Below are 25,741 nucleotides of genomic sequence, written 5' to 3'. Positions count from 1 at the left end.
TTACTATTTAATCTTAAGGAGAAATACGTATTGTGGAAACTCACTTCACCATGCTGCTGGAACTCAGTTAATATGGGTTTTCAATTATCTTCCTTTATCCGTGTATTGGATAATAATAGAATTTCCTAAAAGATAGTGTTACTTGGCTTACCAGCCTATGTGAACTTCCAGGAATAAAACCAGTGCATTCACAAAATCTTATTTTTCATAGTATATAATTATATCAAAATAAAGACTAAATTATGCCTTAGGCCTCTTAGGCCTATTAAATTATAAGCATTAAATTGGAGCAAAACTGGCACTGGAAAGAACTTATTATAATAGATAGAAGGTAATCTGCTGTCCATTTTTCATGCCTTTATGGTTCACAGAGCATCATTTCCTTCCTGCCTATATATACATAAGACTGGTACAGGTTTGGCCAGAAAGACAATTTTGGCTACAGAGCCTAACCTGAAAATATTTTGTGTAGTACTTAAAAGAAGTAGATGTTCTGCTTGTCAATTTACTTATAGAACATTATTATCTAACTATACCCTATTTGATTACTCTCATTTTTAACACATGCTTGCTTTATTTTGCTTTTGTATATTAAGCTATTATAGAAATTAACTCTATTAGAGACGTTTATAAAAGTGAAATTTTAGTGGATCCAATGTTATAAAATACTTGGCAATGTCTAGCACATAATGAGGGCTCCATAAATGTTTCTTCTAGTTATCATTATTGCTATTATTCCTTTGATGATTATTAGCTTTAAAATTTTCTCAAGTGTATTAGAGGATAAAAATTATTCAAATGGGCAAAAATAATAGCACAATATTCTAGATATAGGACTATTTTAGAAAATATAATAAATGAGATATTTTTTATTTATATTTAATGTTAAAATATTTTAAACTTCAAATAATTTCGGAATCACTTATACTTTTATTAGCAGTATGGCAATCGACTATTTGACTGTTTATTCTTGTATCTAGGTATTATTTTACAATGTCAAATTCACATGAAACATTTCATCCTCCAGTTTGAAAAAGATTCTCCAAGAACATAATATCTATAATTTTATAAAAATCTGATAATTTTTCTTTGCTGACTATCTTGTAGAGTGTGGGAAAGATAAGTTTTCAGGAAATGTTAGAAAAAAATTATATATGTATGTAATATGTATTTTATTAGTTATATATATTAGCAAAATATATTTTTATTAGTAAAATGTATATTAGTAAATATGTATATATTTTATCAACATTATATAATACGGGAGGAAAAGCCTTTCTATATCCTATTCTCAAAGTCTTGCTTGACCACATTTTATTTTCAAGAATGAGCAGTAATTAAACATGTGTGTGGAGTCTCTGTGATATCAGAAGGTGTCAGCTGGAAATGCTCTCACATTTCAGTGCCTACGTTCATTCTTACCACAGCCACAGTTGGCTACACTGCTGCTACTTGGCCTGATTTTCTTGCTGTCTCTGTCACTTCTCTGCTGAGCATCTTTGACCCCATTCTCTTTTTCTCTGTGCCAATAACTGCAGCTGCTATCTGTTGTTTGTTCTGCCCTTGTTTCAGTGTTGACAATGGAAGGAAGAACAGCTGGCATCGCTCTGTCTTATTAATATAGTAACCTTCTTGTATGGGGGTGGGGACTGAAACGAAGGGGAGAGAGAGGGAATGTAGGACTAGGGGAGAACAGGCATATTTGTCATATTCTAGCATGTGTTTCTCCATTGTAACAATTTGAGTTAGTGAGACAGCCCCTAGTAGGAGCAATAATGTTTCAAAGAAAGAAGACAAGAAGTGATAAAATAATGTGGACAGTAACTCCAAATTCATAACCTTTTTTTCTTTTTTTTTCTTTTTTTTTTTTTTTTGAGGTGGAGTCCTGCTCTGTCATCCAGGCTGGAGTGCAGTGGCGCGATCTCGGCTCACTGCAACCTCCGCCTTCCGGGTTCACGCCATTCTCCTGCCTCAGCTTCCCAAGTAGCTGGGACTACAGGCACCTGCCACCAAGCCTGGCTAATTTTTTTGTATTTTTAGTAGAGACGGGGTTTCACCGTGTTAGCCAGGATGGTCTCGATCTCCTGACCTTGTGATCTGCCCGCCTCGGCTTCTCAAAGTGCTGGGGTTAGAGGCATGAGCCACCGCGCCCGGCCACCAGTTTTTCTTTAACCAGGCTTAGATATTGATGTTACTTTTCTATGCTTTAATTTTTCCTTCTAAACTAAGGAGAAAAATTGTGGTTCTCAAACTGATTTACAGGCACTTAAACATATAAAGAAGACTTAAGGCTTCTCACAGAATAGAGATTTAAAATCAGGTAGCATTATGACCAGAGGATTTAATGTATTAATATTAATGTAAGATGTATGTGAGTAATTACAGGAAAAAAAAAACACTGTGGATGACTTGAGACATTTTTATAATTTCAATATTTTCCTCTCTTTCAATATATTGAACTGATTTGTAATATTCAAATCACCATGAGTTTCACTTAATTCATCTAGCAAGATAGGTAAATTATACTAAATAGAAGCCTATCCATCAAATGTTTTAGGAGAACAGATACTGTAAGTGGTAACACTGAAGAGTTGGGATGAAAACATCTAGAGCTTATTATGTCATTTTAAGCAGAAGCTGCCATCCCTCCCCATTAATGCAAGTAAAGCAAGGATATTAATGTTTTTTGAGTAAGTGCTACATTCAAAATGAAATCACAGAGAAGGAAAAAATATCCAAGGACAAAAGATTCAGAGACACCCCAGGCTAAAGATGAGTTGGCCAGTGCCAAATATTCCAATTCAACAGGATGACTTAACAAATAAATAAAATAGCAAATTAATTCTACAATTAATCCATCTTCTTGGGACCACCAGGATACATTTTAATTCAAGATCCTAAATTCTGCCATGCTTAAAGTTTGATTGTTTATGAAAGAAATTATTGTTTTGTAATTCTTCAATTTTTGATATCAAAATTCTTACTGCATAACTCAGATTTCTGGGTGCTCTATCACAAACCTTTTCAAGAACTAAGATATATTTAAAGTACTTTAAAGAAAACTTCAGTTCTAGGGTTAGTTTTTCCTTTGTTCCAACCACATATAATTAGTTGGTATGGTAGAGTATAGGATATATTTACTCCTACGTGTCTTTAAAGATAAGCCAATTTAGTTGAATTATAAACTATGTGTTTACTTAGAATGCCTATATACAGCAGCATATACGATGTCTTTGATGTTTTTTGTTATAATTTATAATTTCCCTCACAAAATATCTAGCAATTTTTATCCTGATAATAAATATTGTTTTAAAGTAGTCAATTTCCTTCAAATATGGGCTATTTTATTTTATATTATAAATACAATTATATTGATATGTTAACCTTATATATATTATACATTTCAAATACACTTAAATATTAAACAGTGAGGAGCTCAGAATATGTAGTAGGAATATAATTATTAGAAATAATGCCCCTTAAAAAATGTTGTGGTTTATTACAGCAACTTTAAAGAAAGCTTTAAAGCTTTACCATCTTAATTTTTTTCTTGAACATATGCTAATTAATATCTAAGTAGTCTACTTCTCTAATGATTCTGTTCTCTGCAATGATAAGGAGAGTTCTCATATAGCCCTAACTAAAGGTTAAGGTATACTTTTTTGCAATGTTTTATTTTGGATACTTTTCTATTAATTTAACTTTATGTGTATGATCATCTTGAGTTCCGCCTAGGATATATATGGCTGCAAAACCAACATCTATTGAACAACTGATTATGTGCCAGGCACTTAATATATATTATAATCATTTTATTTTTAAATTGTCTTCTCCCTATGGTATATTTTCTAAATGGGGAAGTTAAACCAAAAGAAGAAGCAACTTTGCTTGCCACATACTTAAAATGATACAGTATGAGTGAGTTAGAAGGCAATGTTTCTTCCCTATTTATCTGTAGCTAATTACTCACAATTATTTAATTATGTCACTGTTTATCATTTATTATGTAAAAAATCACACTCATTTGTGTGAAGAATTGTCAAAATCAAGTCACTTTCTGACAGCGGTGGGCTTAGTATGTATATATAATTAGAAGCTTAGGTGTTGCCAATCTGGCTAGGAGGATGTTAGCTAGAAAAGTTTTTATGTTTTCTTATTAGAAATTTCGTTATTTTTTGTTTTGTTTTGTTTTGTTTTGAGATAGAGTCTTGCTCTGTCGCCCAGGCTGGAGTGCAGTGGAGCGATCTCGGCTCACTGCAAGCTCCACCTCCCGGGTTCAGGCCATTCTCCTGCCTCAGCCCCCCGAGTAGCGGGGACTACAGGTGCCCACCACCACTCCTGGCTAATTTTTTATATTTTTAGTAGAGACAGGGTTTCACCAGGTTAGCCAGGATGGTCTCGATCTCCTGACCTGGTGATCCATTCACCCCGGTCTCCCAAAGTGCTGGGATTACAAGCATGAGCCACCATGCCACTCTAAGACTGTGGTGTCCAAGATTAACTAGTTACCGTCATCTCTTGCAATACACACCCTTGCAATCTCTTCCCACGTTGAAACAGTAAATGTCTCTATCACACATAAAGCAGGGTGGAAGTGAAGATGAGTGTCTTCCGATGCCAGGTCATAAAGGGCATTATGGCCTCTGCCTTGGTTTTTTGGATCACACATTTCTGGGAGAAACCCATTGACACAATGTGAGGACACTTAGGCAGCCTTGGGCAGAAGGCCAGGGAATAAAAAACTGAGACCTCCTGCTAACAAGCAGCACCAAATTGCCAGCCATATAAATGAGCACCTTAAGAAGTGGATCTTCCAGCACAGGACAAGCCTTCAGATGAATGTAACCTCATGAAATACCCTGAGCAAGAACCCTCCCAGCCAAGCTACATTTGCAAAGACCATAAATGTTTATTGTTGTTTTAAGCCACTAAGTTTGAGACAGTTTGTTACACGCTATGACATAACCACTGCCTACTTTGTTTACTTGGTTTGAAGGAAAGATGGATGTTGTTTTTATTTTTTTATTTTTGCGGTGGCTTTAATCTTTTGACTTAGCAACAATTCTTACCTTGTCGTGGATTCAATGAGACTAATTTGATTGTCAGGAGTAGACTTATATTGTTTGATTAAGTAATAGATTATTTGAAAACTAAGGTGAACTTTAAACTGGCAGTGTGAAGCAGCCAGAGATGCATCCACATTCAGAACCCAGAAATCTGCATTACATAGTTAGACAACTTCCGACTTTTCTTGCCTCTCTCCTGGGTTGTGTGGACTCTTCTTCCATGTCATACCTTCTTAAGTCACAAGTTATCATAGTCCTGACTATACCACCCTATCGTGCCTTTTGCTATGCATCCTTAAAGCTCCTGTTCTCTCTGATCTCTGCTTTCCAAGTGTCATTTCTTGATTCCAGTTACCTCCCAAAAGAATATGATTATCCCATCTCATCACTTTTTCAAAATTAAGGTCACAGTTTTCTGGCTAATTTCTGTATTACGTGCCCTAATGTAAGCTGGGCACTGCAGCCTAATCAGCTTATGTTAGACGTTAGGTTAAAACCCTGTGTGGTCACAGGAGGAAACAATCTTCAATTAATTTCCAAGAATGACAGGTTCATTTGAAAGTGGCTTTAAATTTGGCATATGACCGGCAATGTACTTGACATATCAAATGTTGTTTCTAGCCTAAAAATAGCATAGGTTAAAGTCTTAGTTCATTCTCCATATGTATATTCAAAGAAATTTCAACTACCATAGAACTAACCATAAGTTTTTACAGATTACACTTTATCCACATTTTTTATTTTAAGGTTGCCCTTTTTTATTTAGCTGCTGAAGTTAAGTCAGTTTCTTAAATCCAAAAGGAAAGCAGTCAATAAGACATCTAATTTAAATGTTATCATTATATAAGTTCATTTTATCAAAAAATGATTTGCAATGGTGAAAACCTGAAACTTTCAGAAAAGGAGAAGGACAAGCAAAAAAAAATTATTTAATATAAAATTCAGGCAATTTACACATGAATAGCCAAGAAAAGTAGCTCTGCAATAGTACAGCATGATGTTATGTAGGTAACTACCTTATTGCTGTTGCTTATATAACATCATTCAACTCTCCACATACGTTTCTTTATAGAGGTAGCATATTTAATATGAGATCCATCATTTTGAAAATAAGTGTAAGATCCTAACACAGGAAATAAGGCAATTTACTAAAAAGCACTAGTAAAGGTTTCAGTCACTCCTGTCAGGCATCTATTCCACTGAGCACATTTTCATTATAAGGTGTATATTATCTTCAAAAAAAATTTTACATTTCAGTTATGTAGTGAATACATATTAAATTAAGTGGTTTATAACTTTGAGGGTTTTATTGTTCAATTATGAATAAAAGATATCAAAGCAGATAATTTTTATTGTATATTGAGTACATTAGTTGTTTCACAGGGCTCCATGTGTGAAAGGAAAAGTTATTTAGTCCAAAGTCTTGGTTCCAGACAGACTAACTATAGTTTAAAAACTAAGCTGGGTTGGCCAGGCATGGTGGCTCATGCCTGCAATACCAACATTTTGGGAAGCCGAGGCAGGCAGATTACCTGAGGTCAAGAGTTCGAGACCAGTCTGGCCAACACAGTGAAACCCCATCTCTATGAAAAATATAAAAATTAGCCAGGTATGGTGGCACACTTCTGTAATCCCAGCTATTCAGGAGGCTGAGGCACAAGAATCGCTTGAACAGGTGGAGGTTGTGTTGAGCAGAGATCACACCACTACGCTCCAGCCTGGGCAACAGAGCATGGGTCTTACTGGAGAGAAAACTAGGTGGAGATTTCTGGTAAGGATATCCCTTAAAATAAAGAGATTCAAAAAGTCTTGATGTTTGGAATGTGAGTTGAAGATGACAAGGACATATCATGGAAGCCCCTATGTGCTATACTAAGGACATTGAGGAAAAAAAAATTGTGTGTGTGTGTGTGTGTGTGTGTGTGTGTGTGTACATATATATATATATATTTACATATAATAAATTCACTATACATATATACTTAGTGTGTGTATATATAATTTATTATATAAAATATATAATTTATTATATAAAATATATAATTTATTATATAAAATATATAATTTATTATATAAAATATATAATTTACTATATGAAATATATATAATTTACTATATGTAAATATATTTTTATATATGTGTGTATATATATAATAAATTACATATAAATTCACTATACATATATACTTAGTGTGTGTATATATACACAGACATACTAAGGACATTGATAAGAATATGTAAAAAAATATATATTTACATATAATGAATTCACACATGTATATATATAACAGTAGTGGCATATTTAAGCCTGAATTTATTATATGTAGCTGTTTATATTGTCTGAAGGATAAATTAATGTGGTGAAACTAAGCCATTCCAATATAGAAGCAGCTGTTAAAAATGTAAAATATATATATTACAATACCCTAATAGAAATAAGGAGCTGAGGACATAAGCAGAAGGTAAAAGTTTTCTCCAAATATTTCCAAATATATTCAATATCACAGGTAACCAAACTAATATATATATAAGAATATAATATATAATACATTATGTTTTTAATTTATATATATTATATATGTGTATATATATATTCACATTTAGTAAGCTTGTTCACAAGGTCATGCACACACGCACATGCATTCAATAATAGTTCACCTGAAGTGTTTGAAATGAATAATTTCACAGATTGCTGGTGGTGCTGGTAACAATCTTTTGGAAATCAACCTGACATATATCAAATGTTTTAAAGGCTTTCATACCTCTTGCAGGAACATATACTACTGGAAATAACTACTTAGTGGGATGGTCATCACAGTAATCACATAGACACACACCACACACATACACATACACCTGTATGACTGATAAAGGCCAATGATATTTATTGAGCTTCTATTACTTATGCTAGCATCTGATATTGGTACTAGGTTAGAATTAATAAAGTAAATCATAATACTTTTAAAAGGCAGAAATTCATATGATGAAACAGTATTTGAAACCATGTATAAAGACTATATTAGGCATGTTATAACAAATGAATAAAAGGAATGAAAAATTATATTTATATATTATATATTTATATATTTTATCAGATAAATTTCCATATATGTAGGCATTTATATGAAAATCAGAAAAGTAATGAAAAGACATGAAAAAATGCATTATATGCTTGTAATCCCAGCACTCTGGGAGGCCAAGGTGGGTGGATCACCTGAGGTCAGGAGTTCGAGATCAGCCTGAACAACATGGTGAAATGCCATCTCTACTAAAAATACAACAACAACAAAAAATAGCTGGGTGTGGTGGTGGGAGCCTGTAATCCCAGCTCCTTGGGAGGCTGAGGCAGGAGAATCTCTTGAACCCAGTACGTGGAGATTGCAGTGAGCTGAGATCTCACCATTCCACTCCAGCCTGGACAACAGACAAACAACCCCCAAACAAACAAAGAAACAAACAAAAAGAGAATGTATTATTATACCAGGGCAATTAAATTTGAGGTTTTTTTTAATTTAATGTACATTCTAACTTTGTATATAAAATGGAATATGTTTTAAACAGATAATAACAATATATATAATTTTTAAGTTAAGTAATTGCAAAATACATTTTATCTACATAGTATTCATTATCTTCATCTAGGAATAGTTTATATTCCCATCTAGCTTATTTTTAGTGGCTGTTACATTTAATTTGCTACACTTTCTATATTCTAGTAAACCATCAATATATTATGCTTTTAAGCTATTGCAAACAAAATTTTATTTTGCATCTTATTCTTACAGAAGAAAAATATAGAAATTGGATATTTATCTTGTAGCTTGCTAAATAATTGATCTTATGAACTTAATTTGTACTTTTACTTTAATCTTTTGGGACTGATTTTACCTTCAAATTTTGATTGTCTTCTATTTATACTATTTATACAATTTATATTTGTTTCTTAGATTAATGAATTGATCAACCCATCAAAAATTAATTTTAAATAGTAATCACAATTCAATATTTTGATTCTCCATTTATTTATCTATTTAAAAAATTTCACTTTTATAGATTTAGGGAGTACAAGTGCAGTTTTGTTACATGGATCTATTGACTAGTGGTGAAGTCTAGGCTTTTAGTGTAACTATCACCTGAATAGTAAACATTGTACCCAATATGTTATTTTTCATTCCTCACCTACTTCCAACCCTCCCACTAATGTCTATTGTTTCTTTTTTATGTCCATGTGAACCCATTTTCTAGCTCTTACTTGTAAGTGAGAACGTTCAATATTTGAATTTCTGTTTCTGGGTTATTTCATTTAGGATACTGGCCTGTGGTTCCATCCATGTTACTGCAAAAGACAAGATTTCATTTCTTTTTATGGCTGAGTAGTATTCCATGGTGTGTGTGTCTGTGTCTGTGTGTGTGTATGTGTGTGTGTGTGTAATACTTTATTTATCCAATCATCCATTGATGGTCACTTATTTATTATTCTGGTGTATGTTAATTTTTTATTAATTTAAATATCCCTGTATTCTTAGTTTATTAGTTTACTAAGAGAATTTATATTATACTTAGTAATATGCTATGTATTTTATCAGATTGCATTTTTGTTTGGTTAAATTATATTGACGGTCCTTAATTGACAAACTAATATCATGTATTAAATTAATTTCTTTTTGTTAAAATTTTAAGTTCAGGGGTTCATGTTCAGATTTGTTACATAGGTAAATGTGTGTCATGGGGGTTTGTTGTACAGATTACTTCATCATGCAAGTATTAACCAAGTGCCCATTAGTTATTTTTCTTGATATTCTCTCTCCTCCTATCCACCACACTCCAACAGGCCTCAGTGTGTTCTCTTTCATGTTTCCGTGTTTTCACACCATTTAGCTCCCACTTATAAGTGAGAACATGTGGTATTTCTTTTAATGTTCCTGCATTAGTTTGCTAAGGATAATGGCCTCCAGCTCCATTCAAGTTCCTGCAAAGGACATGATCCTGTTCTTTTTATGGCTGCATAATATTCCATGGTGTATGTATTCCACATTTTCTTTACCCAGTCTACCACTGATGGGGATTTAGGTTGATTTCATATCTTTGCTATTGTGAATAGTGCTGCAATGAATATATGTGTGCATGTGTCTTTATAATGGAATGATTTATATACATTTATACACATTTGGGTATATACCCAGTAATGGGATTGCTGTGTCAAATGGTATTTCTTGTTTTTAGGTCTTTGAGGAATCACCCTGGTATTAAACCAAGTACCCATTAGTTATTTTTCCTGATCCTCTCCCTACTCCCCTCCACCCATCAAAAGGCCCTCTTTCTCCTCCTCCTCCTCCTCTTCCTCTGTCTCTCTCTCTCTCTCTCTCTCTCTCTCTCTCTCTCTCCCCCTCCTTGTTTGGTTCAGTTCAGTGCTTCAGTTCAGTCTGTGTATTATCATTTGCTTAAAACTCTTTGGGACCACATGGTTAATTTTCTTTTTTTGATATGTTTTATATAAATTGTGGTTATATTTGGTTTTTAAAAATATTCAATTTATTGGTGAATTTTATGGGCTTGAAGATTTGTATATTTGCATTTTTACTTCTTGTCTGAAAATGCAGAAACAATCTCTGCTTATTGGAACAGATTTACAGAGTAGAGCCAGGCTTTTTGTTTTGTAGTTTACTTCGTGGCCACCCTTGAAGATATGTCAATAAAATTGGAAAATGCTTTCTGTTTGTGTAGTAAAACAATCATTATAAATACAGTAATTCAATCTTGATAATTGTATTGTTAAAACTTTGTCTTTATTTTTCTTCATTTTTCAAATATTGAGAGTGATATGTTAAAGAAACAGACCGAGATTGTGGATTTATTTATTTTACATCCAACTTTAACAGTTAAAACATAATACTGTGTTTTAGCTTATGTAATTTTAAATTCATTATGTAGTGCCTTGATTTTTATCTATTACAAAGTCTGTAATTTTTGGTATTTATTCCTAAATGACTGCCAGTCTTAAAAATGTCTCTGTCCTTAGTTCTAATGTCCTTACTCCTTTAAAATAGTGGTGCTTTGATATGCCACTAGAATTTTTCACATGCTTTTTTTCTATCTGGAAATTGAATCATACCCTTCACTTCATTTATTCTTACTCATTTCTCATACTTCACCTTGATCATAATTAGAGAAGTTCCCCCTGTTTAACAATGTCTAATCCACCCAACAAATGCATTCACATTACTATGTTTTTCTCTTTATAACACACTAAATTCATAACTTTGAATTTTTTTCTGTCATCATTTGATTACTTTTTGTCTCCCCAATTAGAATATAGGTTCTATGGGCACAGAGATTGCCTGTTCTAACCTGTGTATGTGAGTGCTGAATACATCTAACACATGTTAGGTACTCAATTGGTACTCACCAAGTAAGTGGGTGGAGATATAAGGAAACACATGCGTTGTTATTTTTGTATAGGCCAGAGAAAGATTTATAAGTCTAATCATAGTTCAACCATTCCTAAAACTACAAAAAAATCCACTTCTTTTGCATTGTGTGTGCAGACTTACTTGATTTTATCATGAATAAATTCTCCAGCTTTATTTTTTTAAACCAGTCTTACCCGCCAAATATACCAAATTACTTGACACATTCCCTCAATATGTTCTGATGCTTCTGGTTGATATACCTTGAACATATTTTCTTTTTTCCTCATGTATGGAATAACCTCTCTAGCCCCCTACACCGCACAGCACTCTTGTAAGCTTTGGTAATATTACATTTCTTGTTCAGCACCATCTCAATGAAGCTGTCCCTCCAGTACCCATCTTCTTCTCATAGCTGATCATTCTGTCTTGTCCACATTTGCTGAATTTGAAATTTGCTTCTTCCCTTTCATTTATTACATGTTTGTATTTATTTGTTTTCAATGTTCTCTTTCCTCCTATGTCTATAACCTCTCCTTGAGAATAAGATTTGTCTTTTTATCATCTTATAACATATTTAGTTGACAAAGATTGAATATGTTTAAGATGAAAAGATGATGTATATATTATGTAATGATTATCACAATCATTAACACATCCATCACCACCCACATTGTACATTACATGTTCAGAACTTACTCATCTCATAATTGAAAGTTATACTTTTTTCGTATTTGTTCAAAGTGCACTGCTGGCACAAGAACAACAGCATAAAATGTGCTGCAGGAATGCACACATCATGTATTTATGTTTGAATAAATGTCATTAAGGAATTAAAAATCTAAAAATTGCAATGTTTACCATTAATAATTAATTTTTTAAAGAAATATAGCAGATGCTGAAAACTGCATGACTTGGGCCTTCAGCCGTAGGTGAGGAGTGCTAGACTTCATTCTTGGCTCTAAAACATACACATGTGGGTTCAGTTGGAAAAAAAAGTCATTAAGTTTTAATATGGTCAAAATACTGGAAGTAATTGCTGTGTATGAGATTTTCTATTAGTTACACTTTTATGATTTTGCTTTAAGAACATATAGTGTTATTGTAACTTTGAATTATTAAAGAAGCAGGCATTTCCTTCAGAATAGTTTCAACTGGATTTTTTTCTTAATTTCTATCTTAATATATTAGCTCTTTACTGATTAAGTCACTATATAATATTTTTAAAACCTGTGGTTCAAGAACAATTCAGTATGTACTAAAAGAAGCGAAGTATACTTAGATCTATTTTCTGTCTGTTTTAAAACAGTAAAAACATATACTCTTTAAAAATAGGCCAATTTGTTGTTCAAGATCTTGGATTTACAAGAACTCTTCTTGTTCAGGAATATTTCATATTATGTGAAAATATATATTGTGATTATTGCAAAATTTAAGAGTGTAACTTTTTCTATTAGCAACTTAAATAAACTGTCAACCTAATAGTTTTAACTACTAATGCTTGCTCTAAAAATACATTTCAATTAAACTAACTTATAAACTTCCTATTCTTTTCAATGCAGAGTAAAATGTTCTTTGTTTAATAACAAAATCTGTATTCCAAATAAGAATTGGCTATATCAAAAAATGTACAAAGCATTATTAGCTAATTCCAACATGCTATTGTTTTGTTAATTTAAAGTAGCTCACTGAATTAACTTCACTACGTTTATATACACATTCTATCATAGATATTTGACATCTTTAATAATATTTATATTACCATATAGCAAAAGCTCTCTTTACTCATTTTTCTTTTTCTTCTTTTTCTTTCAACATGCTGCAGTAGCTAACATATTATGGAGAGAAGAAGGTACTAAGTTGAATTATTTTTATGTTGTGACAATTTTGCTTGATTATTATTAGATTTGTTGATTATATTTTGTATCATTAATTACCTTCTTTTTCATTTTGATTCAATATTTTAATTGATGGTATTTCAATATTTTTGTGTAAGCCTGCTACCATTACACATATTTATCAGTTCTCATCAGCTTGATTAAATATTGATACATAGCCAGAAAGTGTCATTGCGATATATTGAAATACTTTAAAAGTATGAAATTACACCAAAGAAACAAAAGCAATCTCAGTTAAACATAATTTACATAATGAACTCTGATTAATGCAGAGTAAGAATATTTATAAAAACTGTGCCTTATCAAGGGGATATAATAAATTATATTAAAATCTGAGCTACATACTTGAAGGGCCTGGATTCAAATGTAGTCTTCAAGTTTACAAACAATAGGGCAAGTTACCCTGCACGATCTTCTTATCTCAAAAAGGAGTATAGTAGTTGTTAATACTCAGTAGGGTTGTTATCAGTTCTTTAGTTATTAACAGCACTCAATAAACAGTATCCATTTTCATATATTATTGCAGTTGTTACTGGTTTTCCTCATTTAGTCACAAAGGCTGGGAAGAATGCGTTTGCCCCAGTACTTAAATAGTCCATCAATTGTGGTTAAATGAAATTCTTAAGAGAAAAATGTCTAAAAGCCATCATTACACTCCTGGTGAGCAATGGCCAAAAATTGTCTTCAAAACCCACCTTAAACAAAATTTCTCTTCCCTGATTATAGCTTCCTGTAGGAACCCAAGTCACTGTACCCTGTGAAAGCCAGTCTCAAAGCCTCAAGTAATTCTGGAATTTAGCCATCTCAATTCTGTGCTCAAGGATGAAGCAGTCCACTTATTTTTTTTTTCTCTCTTAGATCCCGTTGCTCCTTAAATCTTTTGTATGAACTCCATTAAAACCTGGGTTTATTAAAGAAATTCTGGTATAACTATACCCTCTATTTTTATTCCACTTCAAATATTTCACCTTTAAATGTACATAATTCACTCGTTAATGAAAGTAGCCTTGACATATCAGTACTTACTTATTTATATATTTATTTATTTGAGATGGAGTTTCACTCTTGTTGCCCAGGCTGGAGTTCAACGGCGCGATCTCGGCGCACTGCAACCTCCACCTCTCGGGTTCAAGCAATTCTCCTGCCTTAGCCTCCCGAGTAGCTGGGGTTACAGGAGCGGGCCACCACGCCCGGCTAATTTTTGTATTTTTAGTAGAGACGGGGTTTTGCCATGTTGGCCAGGCTGGTCATGAACTCCTGACCTCAGGTGATCTGCCCGCCTCAGCCTCCCAAAGTACTGGGATTACAAGAGTGATAATATCTATCAAACAACATTTCATTATATTGTCTTCTCTCTGGGCAAGATTTCTCTGAGCATTTTAAAAATTGATTTTATTTTATCATTGAAATGGAAGGAATAACACTTAACAAGTCTGAACCAAGTACTACAGATCTGGCTTTGACGGTTAATTGCTGGGAAAATTTGTATGAAGCTTTGCCATACAAAATTTGGAAGCTAAGCCAGATGCTTCCAATACAATATTTGAAATAGATTTGGCACTCACCTCACAAATCTGTGCTATGTAAATCAACTTAAAGTATGTGGAACAACTCTTTCTATGAACTTTGGTAACCACCGTGAACATTATTAATTCGTAGTAATTTTTAATACATAATAATAACAATACTCCAGGCCACCCTCTAAAGTATAGAATAGAAGCTTTCAGATTAATTAAAATCATGATGAAATTCATTATATAAATCCAGATTATTTTCTATTTAAAAATGTATTCTGTTAGTTTTTGGAAATTTATACCCTCAGTAATTATTCTCCATCAAGAATAATGTTCTTATGCATCACGATTTCATTTGACATATAAAATGTGCTTGACAAAAATAGATATATGATACATTTTACAGATACTTTAAGTCACATAAAACAAGTGTGCGTCTTTGGGTAAATTATTAAAGTCTTTTTTTCTACATACAGTTATCATAACAGTACTTGTTGTTTCTTGTAATAGGAAACATTTTAAAAATAGATTAAAGACAGCACATTTGATTTTGATTCACAGACTTCTGTAAGTTATTTTTATAATGCCACAATTATTGGCAAGGCATTACAATAAAAATGATTTCATGTACTAATAGTAATAATGGTGACCAGAGAAAATAGACTGGCTTGAGGAATCACTGAACCCCATCATTGGGTATAAGTATTTCATACAAATAATTAAAATTATAGGTAACTAAATTTTCTAAGGAAATTGTCTCTTCATTTTTACAATTTAGAATAAAATAAATATGAGCTACATATTTCTGAGATACACTTTTATTTTCATTCTAGCAGTGTTTTATATTTATATATTTACCTCTTTACCATAGCCAAGAAAAATCTATCTTAGAGAGAACCAATTATAAAACCTTAGAATGTAGGTCACTTAAGGCCAATAATGGAAAGAGTTGAAATGATAATTTCTCTCATAATGCCATTGAACTCATCTATAAATGTTAAACCTATGTTATTTTTATATTAATAATTACAAAATTATTTTTTTAAACATGAGCATCAGAATCTAGTGAAGAGTTTATAATCTAAATAAATTTAACTGAATTTAATATGTATTATCTTACCAATCTCATCAATATATAAACTTGGAACGCAATGTCCTCTACTTCTCTGGGCTCCACTTTCAGCTTTCTACTCATCTTTAAATTTTACAGGAGTATAAAATGACAATACTAATAGAGGAAAATCTCACTTATTTGTTGACAAATATTTTAAAGAGCCTATTAAAACACATTGAAAACATTGGAAATTCATAGATGAATAAGATCTAATATCTGCTCTAAAGAAACTTTCAATCTAGAAGGTTCAAGCCTGAACCATTCTTACTGAAAAGTAGTTTTACTATATATTAAATTATAGATATAATACATTTAAATATACATGCACTAATATGTATTTTTACATACACATTAAAATATTCAGTATGATTTGTTTTCATTTTCAGTATATTTATGATACGTATAATTAAATATAATTTAATAAAGTATTTTCTAATGTTTATTTTGTGGCAATTAGATTATGTTATGAGGTCAAAGTTTATAATATATGTTTTGGATTATATAGGCACTGAATTATACTTACTTAAATTATTTGATTCACTGAAGGATTTATATAAATTTTACATATGCTAGTTTCAATCTCCAAGGAGAGATTTAGGATGATTCAGTATATAAAATGGGATTTTTAAAATTTATTGGCACATGAATTACTTTGATGAATATCTCCAGGATCAATATTGAGTAGAACATAACATACTTTGGGAAACACCAGCTTCATATGATATGTGAATAATTTAAAAGCAGAAAAAAAGTTTCGTATTCAGGAAAATTGCCTTTTTTATTCTTTCTAAATTTATGTATCTATTCACACAAAAATATGTTATAGAAACATTTAAAATAAATCACTATTTAGTTTGACTAACACCAAACCAAAAAAATTACAAATAGAAATGTAGTGAAATTATACAACAAAGTTAATATTACATTACACTTCATGATTAGTTTCATAATCTGTAATACAAGGTTTCCAATGTCATCCAGTTGGGGGAAAACAGATTTAAAAACAGGCCAGCTTAGCTTCTTCAGCCTAAAATTATTTAAAATTTCATTACCCACAAAAAATGTACACTGCCAGGGAGGTTCGGAAATACAGACGAAAATACAGCTTCTAAGTGTGGTTCAAAAACCTCTGGTATAACTATTATTTTACAGAAAAGAATAAAAGACTACAAACTGGGTTCAGTGTATACTGCTCAGGAGATGGGTTCAACCAAAATCTTACAAATCGCCACTAAAGAACTTAATCATGTAACCAAATACCACCTGTTCCCAAAAAACTTACGGAAATAAACAAAAATTAAAAAAATTACTACTTCAAAATAATACTGAAATAATATTTAAAATGAAAAAGGTCAGGATGTGGTGGCTGATACCTTTAATCCTAGCAATTTGGGGGGCCGAAGAGGGAGGATTGCTTGAGGCCAGGAGTTTGAGAACAGCCTAGGCAATATAGCAAAAACCTGTCTCTACAAAAAATTAAAAAAAAAAAATGCCGGGCGTGATGGCTCATGCCTGTAATCCCAGCTACTCAGAAGACTGAGGTGGGAGGATCCCTGAGCTCTGGAGCTCAAGACTGCAGTGATCGCTCCACTGCCCTCTATGCCACCCACACCACTGTCCAAACTGAGGGACAGAGCAATATCCTGCCTCAGAAATAACAGGGCCTATAAAAGTAATAATATAAAATAAATAAAAAGAAAAAGACTTCTCACAGAATAAGTCTTCTGAATACATGAGATTTAGTCATGGCATTGGGGGGAGGGGAAGACTATGCTTTCTAATGGCGAGTACGTGATGCAATTAAATTAAATCACAATCAACCTGTTGTTATTTCTACTGGCCAGTTCACTAACTGGTCTGCTAAAAACTTACATCAGTCTAAGCTTTTTAAATCATTTTACAATTTTTTTCATCAAAAATTTGATCTTGCAAGAGATATCCATTTGTAGCGATATCTATATATGTGCACATGTACATACAAGTATATAATGACATTGGCTTAAATTATATATATGCATGTGTGATACACATATGTGTGTGCATAGATATAATTATGTATGATTTCAACCAATGCCATTTATTATGAAAACAAATATTCTATTACATTATAACATTTGCCCTGCTAATTAGTGTGTGAAGTTAATAATGAAGATTTCCATTCAGTGTTTTTCAGTACACCTTTGGAAGTTAAGGAGATTGTATACTTACTCAAAATGACTGGTTTTAGATACTATCACTCTGGCCAATATACATAGTGGTCAGACGGTACCCACTTCCTGGATTAACAGGGCCTAAAAAAGAGCTTGACACACTCACTCCTAAAAAACTTTCTAGCAAGAATGAAAGGATAAGCAAGTCTTGTTCTAGTTGAACTTAATATAAAGACTTTATTGAGGTGCAATGGTATGATTTTGCTCTGTGTACAAAGACAATGTTATCTCCAAAGTCAGGATATAGTGAATGAGAACATTCATGAACCAAAGATCTATCCGTGCTGAGTTATTCAGTGAGAAAATGCAACGCAATCTATTCTTGCCTATATTATTCTTTATCTAAAGATGGGAGATTTCTTCCATATTTCAAAAATATGCATACTTTTAGGATCACTTGAAAGTAAAAAGGATAATATCAACAAATGAAGGATTCTGTATAACACCGTAATTTATTGAAATACCTTTGATTGGCTACCAAATCACTACATCATACACTTATAACTTCTCATGGACTATAATATGAATGCAAAACTAATGACAATTAAGTCAGAGGAAGAAAAACATCACAAAATCTTTTTTATGATGCACATAAACATGCATCCAATGATCAGAAATTAATCAAATTGTATTGCTAGTGTAGATTACATAGTATATATCCACTGTATATAATAGGTAGTATAACTATATTTCACAATACACTACTGTTCTTGAGTGGTTCCCATTCCCAAAGGATTGAGATAGGAAAGTGCATTATATCCATTTTTTTCTCAGTCCATTTCATGTATTTAAGGGTACAATATTGATTAGAAAATCCTCTGGGAAATACTTCTGTCTTGTAAGACTGCAGGAGTAATTCTTGCTTATGTCTTTTCTGTGTATAGAAAGAAAAAGCAGAAAGAAAGCTCTTAAGGAACAAACAAATTATGGATAACTTCTAGAGTCACTATACTCTGTTAGATTAACAATCAACCCAAAAAAAAGACTAAGCGCTTTTGCCTGCCTTCACCAGAGCTTGAAAAAGGAAAAAAAAAACAAAAACGAAAAACAATCTGCACATGTTCCCGATCTTTACCATGTCTAGAGTAGTGTAGAATCTTTCACTGAAGTCAATAATGTTTGTAATATACTTCACCACAATGCATTCATGAAGAGAGAAGTAATGATCACCACTACTCAAACTTTTTGAGACTCAGGACCCCTTTACAAACTTAAATATTGAGAACTTAAAGAACTTTGTGTTTGGTTGGGGAGAGGTGTATCTCTATCTACTAATATTTAGTATTAGAAATGGAAATAGAAATTTTTAAAATATGCATTCATTAACTTGTTAAAATAGCCCTAATAAACCCATTACATGGAGCCATAAATAGCATATTATCTTTTTAAAGCTAAGTTTTCAAACAAATAAAAGGTAAAACATTGTTTACATTTTGCAAATCCTTTAGCTTTCAGGCTTAATAGAAGATGCTGGATTCTTACATCTGCTTCTGCATGAATTGTGATATCCCACGTAACATTCTACTTCATGTAGCCTGTTGAAAACTAAACCCTACATTAAAAGTAATAATAATACAAGAAAAAATGTGAATGACATCTTAGTAGTATTAGGAAAACAGTTTGGGCTTGGCCCAAAATCATATCATTGCACCTCAATAAAGTCTTTATATTATGTTCAACTAGAACAAGACTTGCTTATCCATTCATTCTTGCTAGAAAGTTTTTTGGGAGTGAGTGTGTCAAGCTCTTTTTTAGGCCCTGTTATTCCAGGAAGTGAGTACCATCTGAACACTATATATATTGGCCAGAGTGATATTATCTAAAACCAGTCCTTTTGAGTAAGTATACAATCTCCTTAACTTCCAAAGGTGTATTGAAAAACACTGAATGGAAATCTTCATTATTAACTTCACACACTAATTAGCAAGGCAAATGTTATAATGTAATAGAATATTTGTTTTCATAATAAATGGCATTGGTTGAAATCATACATAATTATATCTATGCACACACATGTGTATCACACATGCATATATGCCAAATTTAAGAAATGCTTTACTAGAAAATAAAGTTGATCTTTTAGCTGGCTCAAGGATTCTGGGAAAACAGAACTTAAAATTTTATATCATAGAAAATTAAAATTTAGCATATATGGGTTTGAGGAGAAATGAGAATAGTTATCAAAGTCTGGTTATATATCATGTCACCATTTGCTTTTTTCAGTAGTGTTATAATGAATAGATACCTGCAAAACATAAATAAATAGGTTACCATTTCTTTGAAATCTTGCTGTGTGTGAGTTACTCTGCTAAATATTTTACATTCTCTAACTAATGGAAATTTTACAACAGCTGCATGACATAGTATAATTATTATCTTTAAATTTGATATGGGGAAATTATCACACTGTCTAACATTCTCACGGTAAAAGAGTAAGTGCTATAGCTATTATTTGCCTCTGATCTGTCTGAATGCAGAGAATGAAATTTATCATCCCTCTTTGTCATATTTTCTCATCCCTACACTTGTCAAAAAATATAATATATATAAATTTAGTAGTTAGTAAAAATCTATACAAATATATTATTTTCTTTTTACACATAAAGCTAATGAATGTCCCCAATGAAAATGTGCATTGTGTCTTCAGTTTCCAACATCTCCATCATCAGGTCATTTATATTCCTCTTTGCTGAGGATAATCTTAATAAATTTATATGTGCACAATATCAAAGCAGCAAATTGAAAGAGAAACACATCAGGTCATATGTTCAGATCATAAATTCTGCTGCAAAAATTCTAAATAAAACTTTTGAGGAAGAAAATAATGCCTTGCAAAAATGTAAATGGCAAAATATCTAGTCTTATGAATGAGGAGGACTCGCAGAGACCATTAAAGGTAGTGGAAAAGTTTTATTTCATAAGCTGAGTTACCAGTATATAGGCATTTATTTTATAATCGCTATTTTAATTAATCTAGTTGTATTTAGTAATTTGTTGGCATTACTGTTTCATAAGCACTAAGAATTTATATTCTCATTGAAAACAGTCAAATAAAAAACTAAATCTTGACTAATAATATCTGTATTTCTTCAGTAACTTGTAACCTGAAAAGTAGTTTATGCTTTGTAAAAACGTTCATGTGTAATTCATATTTTAAAAGACAAGAAAATATGCTCTAGAACCTGAAAGAGTAATTTGGATGGATTAAGTGGTATTTAGTGGAAAATATAGCTCACAAATTCCACCAGTGCAACAAATCATAGTGGAATCCCACTGACTCTTTTCTGTGTAGAATATGGTAAAACAACCTAATAAAAGTATGCATAGTGGTAAGGGAAGGAAATATTTCAAGAAACATGACAAACAATCTGGACTTAAAGTAGTTGTCAGGCCCAAACACATTCAAATTCATAATTTTCGAACAGTATTTTGGCAAAGTTAAAGAAGGGTAGTCATATTCACTGAAAAATGTTAAGAGCTTAGTAATAAAAATCAAACATAGTATGTAACAGACACAAATGAAAATCAGACACCACATTATGGTTTTGTTATGTTCATAAGTTTCAACAACAGTATTCAGAAACCAATAATGTTAAATTGATAGTTATTTATATGTTAATGTTTACATGGAGGCTTTGCTGATACAAATCAAAAAGCTTTGGCATAAATACTTATGTGCTTTGTTTCGGCTTTCTCTTTTGTGCATGTAATATTTATATTCCTTTAAACACAACTATGATTATAAATAATAGCTGACAACTACTAAATTTTATTTTATATAAAACGTGACTTGAGTCTATTGCTTGCCACTTCTGCTTCTGTTCAGGAATATTCCGTCTTTATGCATTGCTCTCTGGAATTATAATGGATAATTAACTATTAAAGATTACATCTATTAAAATAGAAGTACTGAGAATTATTTATAAAATAATAAGATGTATCAAACAACCTGGAGTAATTTAAAGTGTATATGTATTATTATAAATAATTTCATGTGCTAAAAGAAAAATTGTATGCACACTATATATAAACATGAATAAAGTAATAGTTTAGTTTATATACATTTTTCTCTAAATCTTAGGAATATATGGATACATAGTTATATGGGAAAAATTGTTGACTATTTATTCCCTAGAAACATATAAGATGTAAGATTAAATATGACTGAAGTTCAATAAACACATATTTTTTACAAATCAACAAACTGTTTTTGTGATTCTCAATAGATGGAAAGCCCAGGCTGAATCTTCCAGGAGATCACAATTGAAAAAAATTAATAATGCTTAGAAAATTATTTTTTATTTAAATAAATTATCTTTCTCTTTACAGATGTTTTTAGAATGTAAACATTGTAAGAACAATGGTTTGATTTTCCAGTCAAGATTTTAATATTATTGCTGTCTTTTAAAGAGAACATGCTATCACTGAATTATGTAAGATATAATTATACTGAATAAATTTGACTGTGTAAACCAATATAACAGGTCAAAAGAGCTATATAGGCAAGGACCAGAAAAGGAAGGATTACAAGAGCTCAGGGCTGGCCACATTGGAACAGGGGAGAAGCAGAGGAAACAAAGAGAACAGGTGTTCATGAGTATGTGGAAGTTCCCTGGGCTCAGGCTTTGATTAACCTACACAGGTTTCAAACTAGCCTCCTGCACCCATTTAGACATGGATTTAGAAAGTGGGGGGAGATGAATTTCTGAGACACCACACATCCAGATCCGTAGTGTGAAAAAGAAAAGTATGATTTAAACATTAAATTAAGATTTTTCAGATACCTTAATTTGTTTTGAGGTATAGAAATAGACTTCCCAAATTGCCAATATTAAAACTAATATGTAAGACCTCTATTTAGAATTATTTTGACAAAAATTAGTTTAAGAAAATTTATATTCTACAAAATCTAGGGCATTTGGTCTTTTTCTTCCTAAAAATCTTTATATAAACCAAACTCCTGCAAAGAAATTAAACTTTTCCTAGTGAACTCTAATAAAAGTAGTAAAACAAATTTGATTCTTCAGAAAGTACTTTTACTCCTTAATCAACATGTACATTAAGTGGGGAAGGTATCCAAGATAATCTATGTATCAAGAGTTTATATCCCTATTTATAACTGTTTTAAACTATGAAACATTTATTTAATTATATTAAAGAAACCACTAAACTGCAGCACAGGAAGAATGAAGTGTAATGTCTGCATAATATCACAAAGTGGTGCGAGTATACAGTAAGGGTCCCATATGGTTTGCTTTATTAACATTACACAACTTCGAAAATTGGTCTCCTGCTAAAGATATGAGAGGCACTGAATTTTGGTTGTAAAGGTTTATGATAATTATATTTTGAACATTTAAATGTGTTTTTATTCCTAAGGTCTGGGAATTGGGAACATGTTCTATGTTTTTTATGAAGATGGAATCAAAGTGATACAACCCATAGAATGTGAATTTCAGAGGCACATTAAGCCTAGTGAAAAGCTCCTTGGATTTCAGGCAAGTATCTAAAAAGTTCCTTTGACGTTTTATGCAGAAATTTTGTTAAGTAGAATTACGTTTTGGAAATATAACAAAACCTATACATATATGAGACTCGTGTTGGAAGAAAATTATGAAACCCATGATATTCGGTGTTATTCTTTTTAGGTTTTATATCTGAGGAGGAAAATAATATATTATGTATTCCTAAGAATTTGCTAATATATTATGTATTCCTAAGAATTTGCTAAAATGAAGGTAAGAAAAGTGAAATACCAGGGATGAGCACGACCTGCAATAGCTTTGCCTGCTCTCCAATTTAGAATACCTCCTGTATTTGTAGGTTATATTTAAGAAAATAAAATAAAATATCCTGTACATAATCTGGTGGGAAGCTGGTGTATATTAGATGCTTTATAAATGTAAAACCACTTTTATTCTTCATCTCATTCTTCATGAGGTCTCATTGGAATGGACAATTCAGATAAATAAGGGAAAATATCAAATTTTTTCAAATCCTCATTTCAGCCTACCAGTAGGCAGTGTTGCTGTCATATACTAATACATGGAGACAATAATTTATACCTTAAATCTATGCCCTAGAATGAAAAAAAGGAAAAACATTATGAGAGGAGATAATGACCAGGAGGTCAGTTTCCTCCTGGATATTTTGTAGGACAAAGAAATCTAATGTCCTTTTATTTAAAAATATTTCAGCCATAGGCTAAATTATTAAGTAAAATTCTTACCATTTTGGTTAAGTTATAACTTAATTATACATGTAAAAAATCTTAAATTGCACATGGAATTTTATTTTATTTTATTTTATTTTAAGACAGAATCTTGCTCTGTCACCCAGACTGGAGTGCAATGGAGTGATCTCGGCTCACTGCAACCTCCGCCTCCTGGGTTCAAGCAATTATCCTGCCTCAGCCTCCCAAGTAGCTGGGATTACAGGCGCGTGCCTCCAAGCCCAGCTAATTTCTGTATTTTTCATAGAGACGTGGTGGTTTCACCATGTTGGCCAGGCTGATCTCGAACTCCTGACCTCGTGATGCACCCTCCTCGGCCTCGCAAAGTTCTGGGATTAGAGGCATGAGCCACTTCACTCGGCCCTATTTTCTTTTATAATCTTAAACGTTATCATTATTAAGTCAGTCTTTGAATAAGTTGTGTTTATGTGCATATATGTATGTAATACATAAGCACATGAATAAAAACAAATTATTGCTGATAAAAGAAATAATTTAAGCCACACTCATATTCTTACAAAAATATTCTGAATAAGAAATATGGACTAACATGCAGATATAGGTAGTGTGGTGTTCAATACAAATATTATTATTTAAATCAGAGCAAAATAATTTTATAGGAGAGTGTTTCTCTCTGATTTCTACAGGACTAGCAGTTTTGCAGCTAACGACACACATGTCTTGGCTATATCACAGAATTTGAAACTTCAATTACTAATACTAATAAGATAGGCTGTGAAATCCATACTCTTCATCACAAAACTATCACTTCAGGAATCTGATTTGCAAATTTAGAGACAAAGAATATTTTTCCTGCACCACATGTGTGCTATTTCAGGGTATCAGTAAATGCTTCATTACTATGTGACTCAAGTCTTAAAGAGCATGCTTTCCCAGAACATTTCTTGACAGCTCTGGGTGAGTTAATTTAATCACTTGGAATCTCAAGTTAAAAAAACAAGCAAAAATTTGATGTGACAGTTTTGCAACATGTCAGGGCAACAAGGATGTGAGCATTATTTACCTGCATTTCTCTCTCTTTAAAGCTTTATAATACTCAGATGTCCTCCTAAAACAACTAAAGAAAAACAATGTAGAATTGTGTATATTTATTTCTCTATGTATACACATATTATTTCTCTATGTATCCAATTAAATATGTATATTTATCTATGTATACATATATATGTATATGTATATATACATACATAGAGACATAGAGATGTAGGACAAAGCAATGTGATGTATCCAGGTCTCTATGTATACATATATGTTTATGTATGCATACATAGAGAAATAA

The 25,741-nt window shown here is 32.0% G+C and overlaps 1 protein-coding gene across 4 annotated transcripts in view; it reads left to right on the top strand.

Moving 5' to 3' along the window:
- Positions 1 to 25,741, top strand: part of FSTL5 (follistatin like 5) — a 780,104-nt gene that overhangs the window by 640,278 nt on the left and 114,085 nt on the right. For 2 of the 4 annotated variants that reach the window (NM_001128427.3, NM_020116.5), the window contains exons 11-12: positions 13,299 to 13,325; positions 23,589 to 23,707. In NM_001128427.3, coding sequence (NP_001121899.1) covers positions 13,299 to 13,325; positions 23,589 to 23,707 — 146 coding nt within the window. The remainder of the gene's footprint in view (positions 1 to 13,298; positions 13,326 to 23,588; positions 23,708 to 25,741) is intronic. The other 2 variants (NM_001128428.3, XM_011532126.1) reach the window with 1 other exon arrangement.

This window comes from Homo sapiens, chromosome 4, assembly GCF_000001405.40.
Source record: "Homo sapiens chromosome 4, GRCh38.p14 Primary Assembly".
Taxonomy (NCBI): domain Eukaryota; kingdom Metazoa; phylum Chordata; class Mammalia; order Primates; family Hominidae; genus Homo; species Homo sapiens.
The sequence above is the reverse complement of the archived record's forward strand: the minus strand, read 5'-3'. Positions and strand labels throughout refer to the sequence as shown.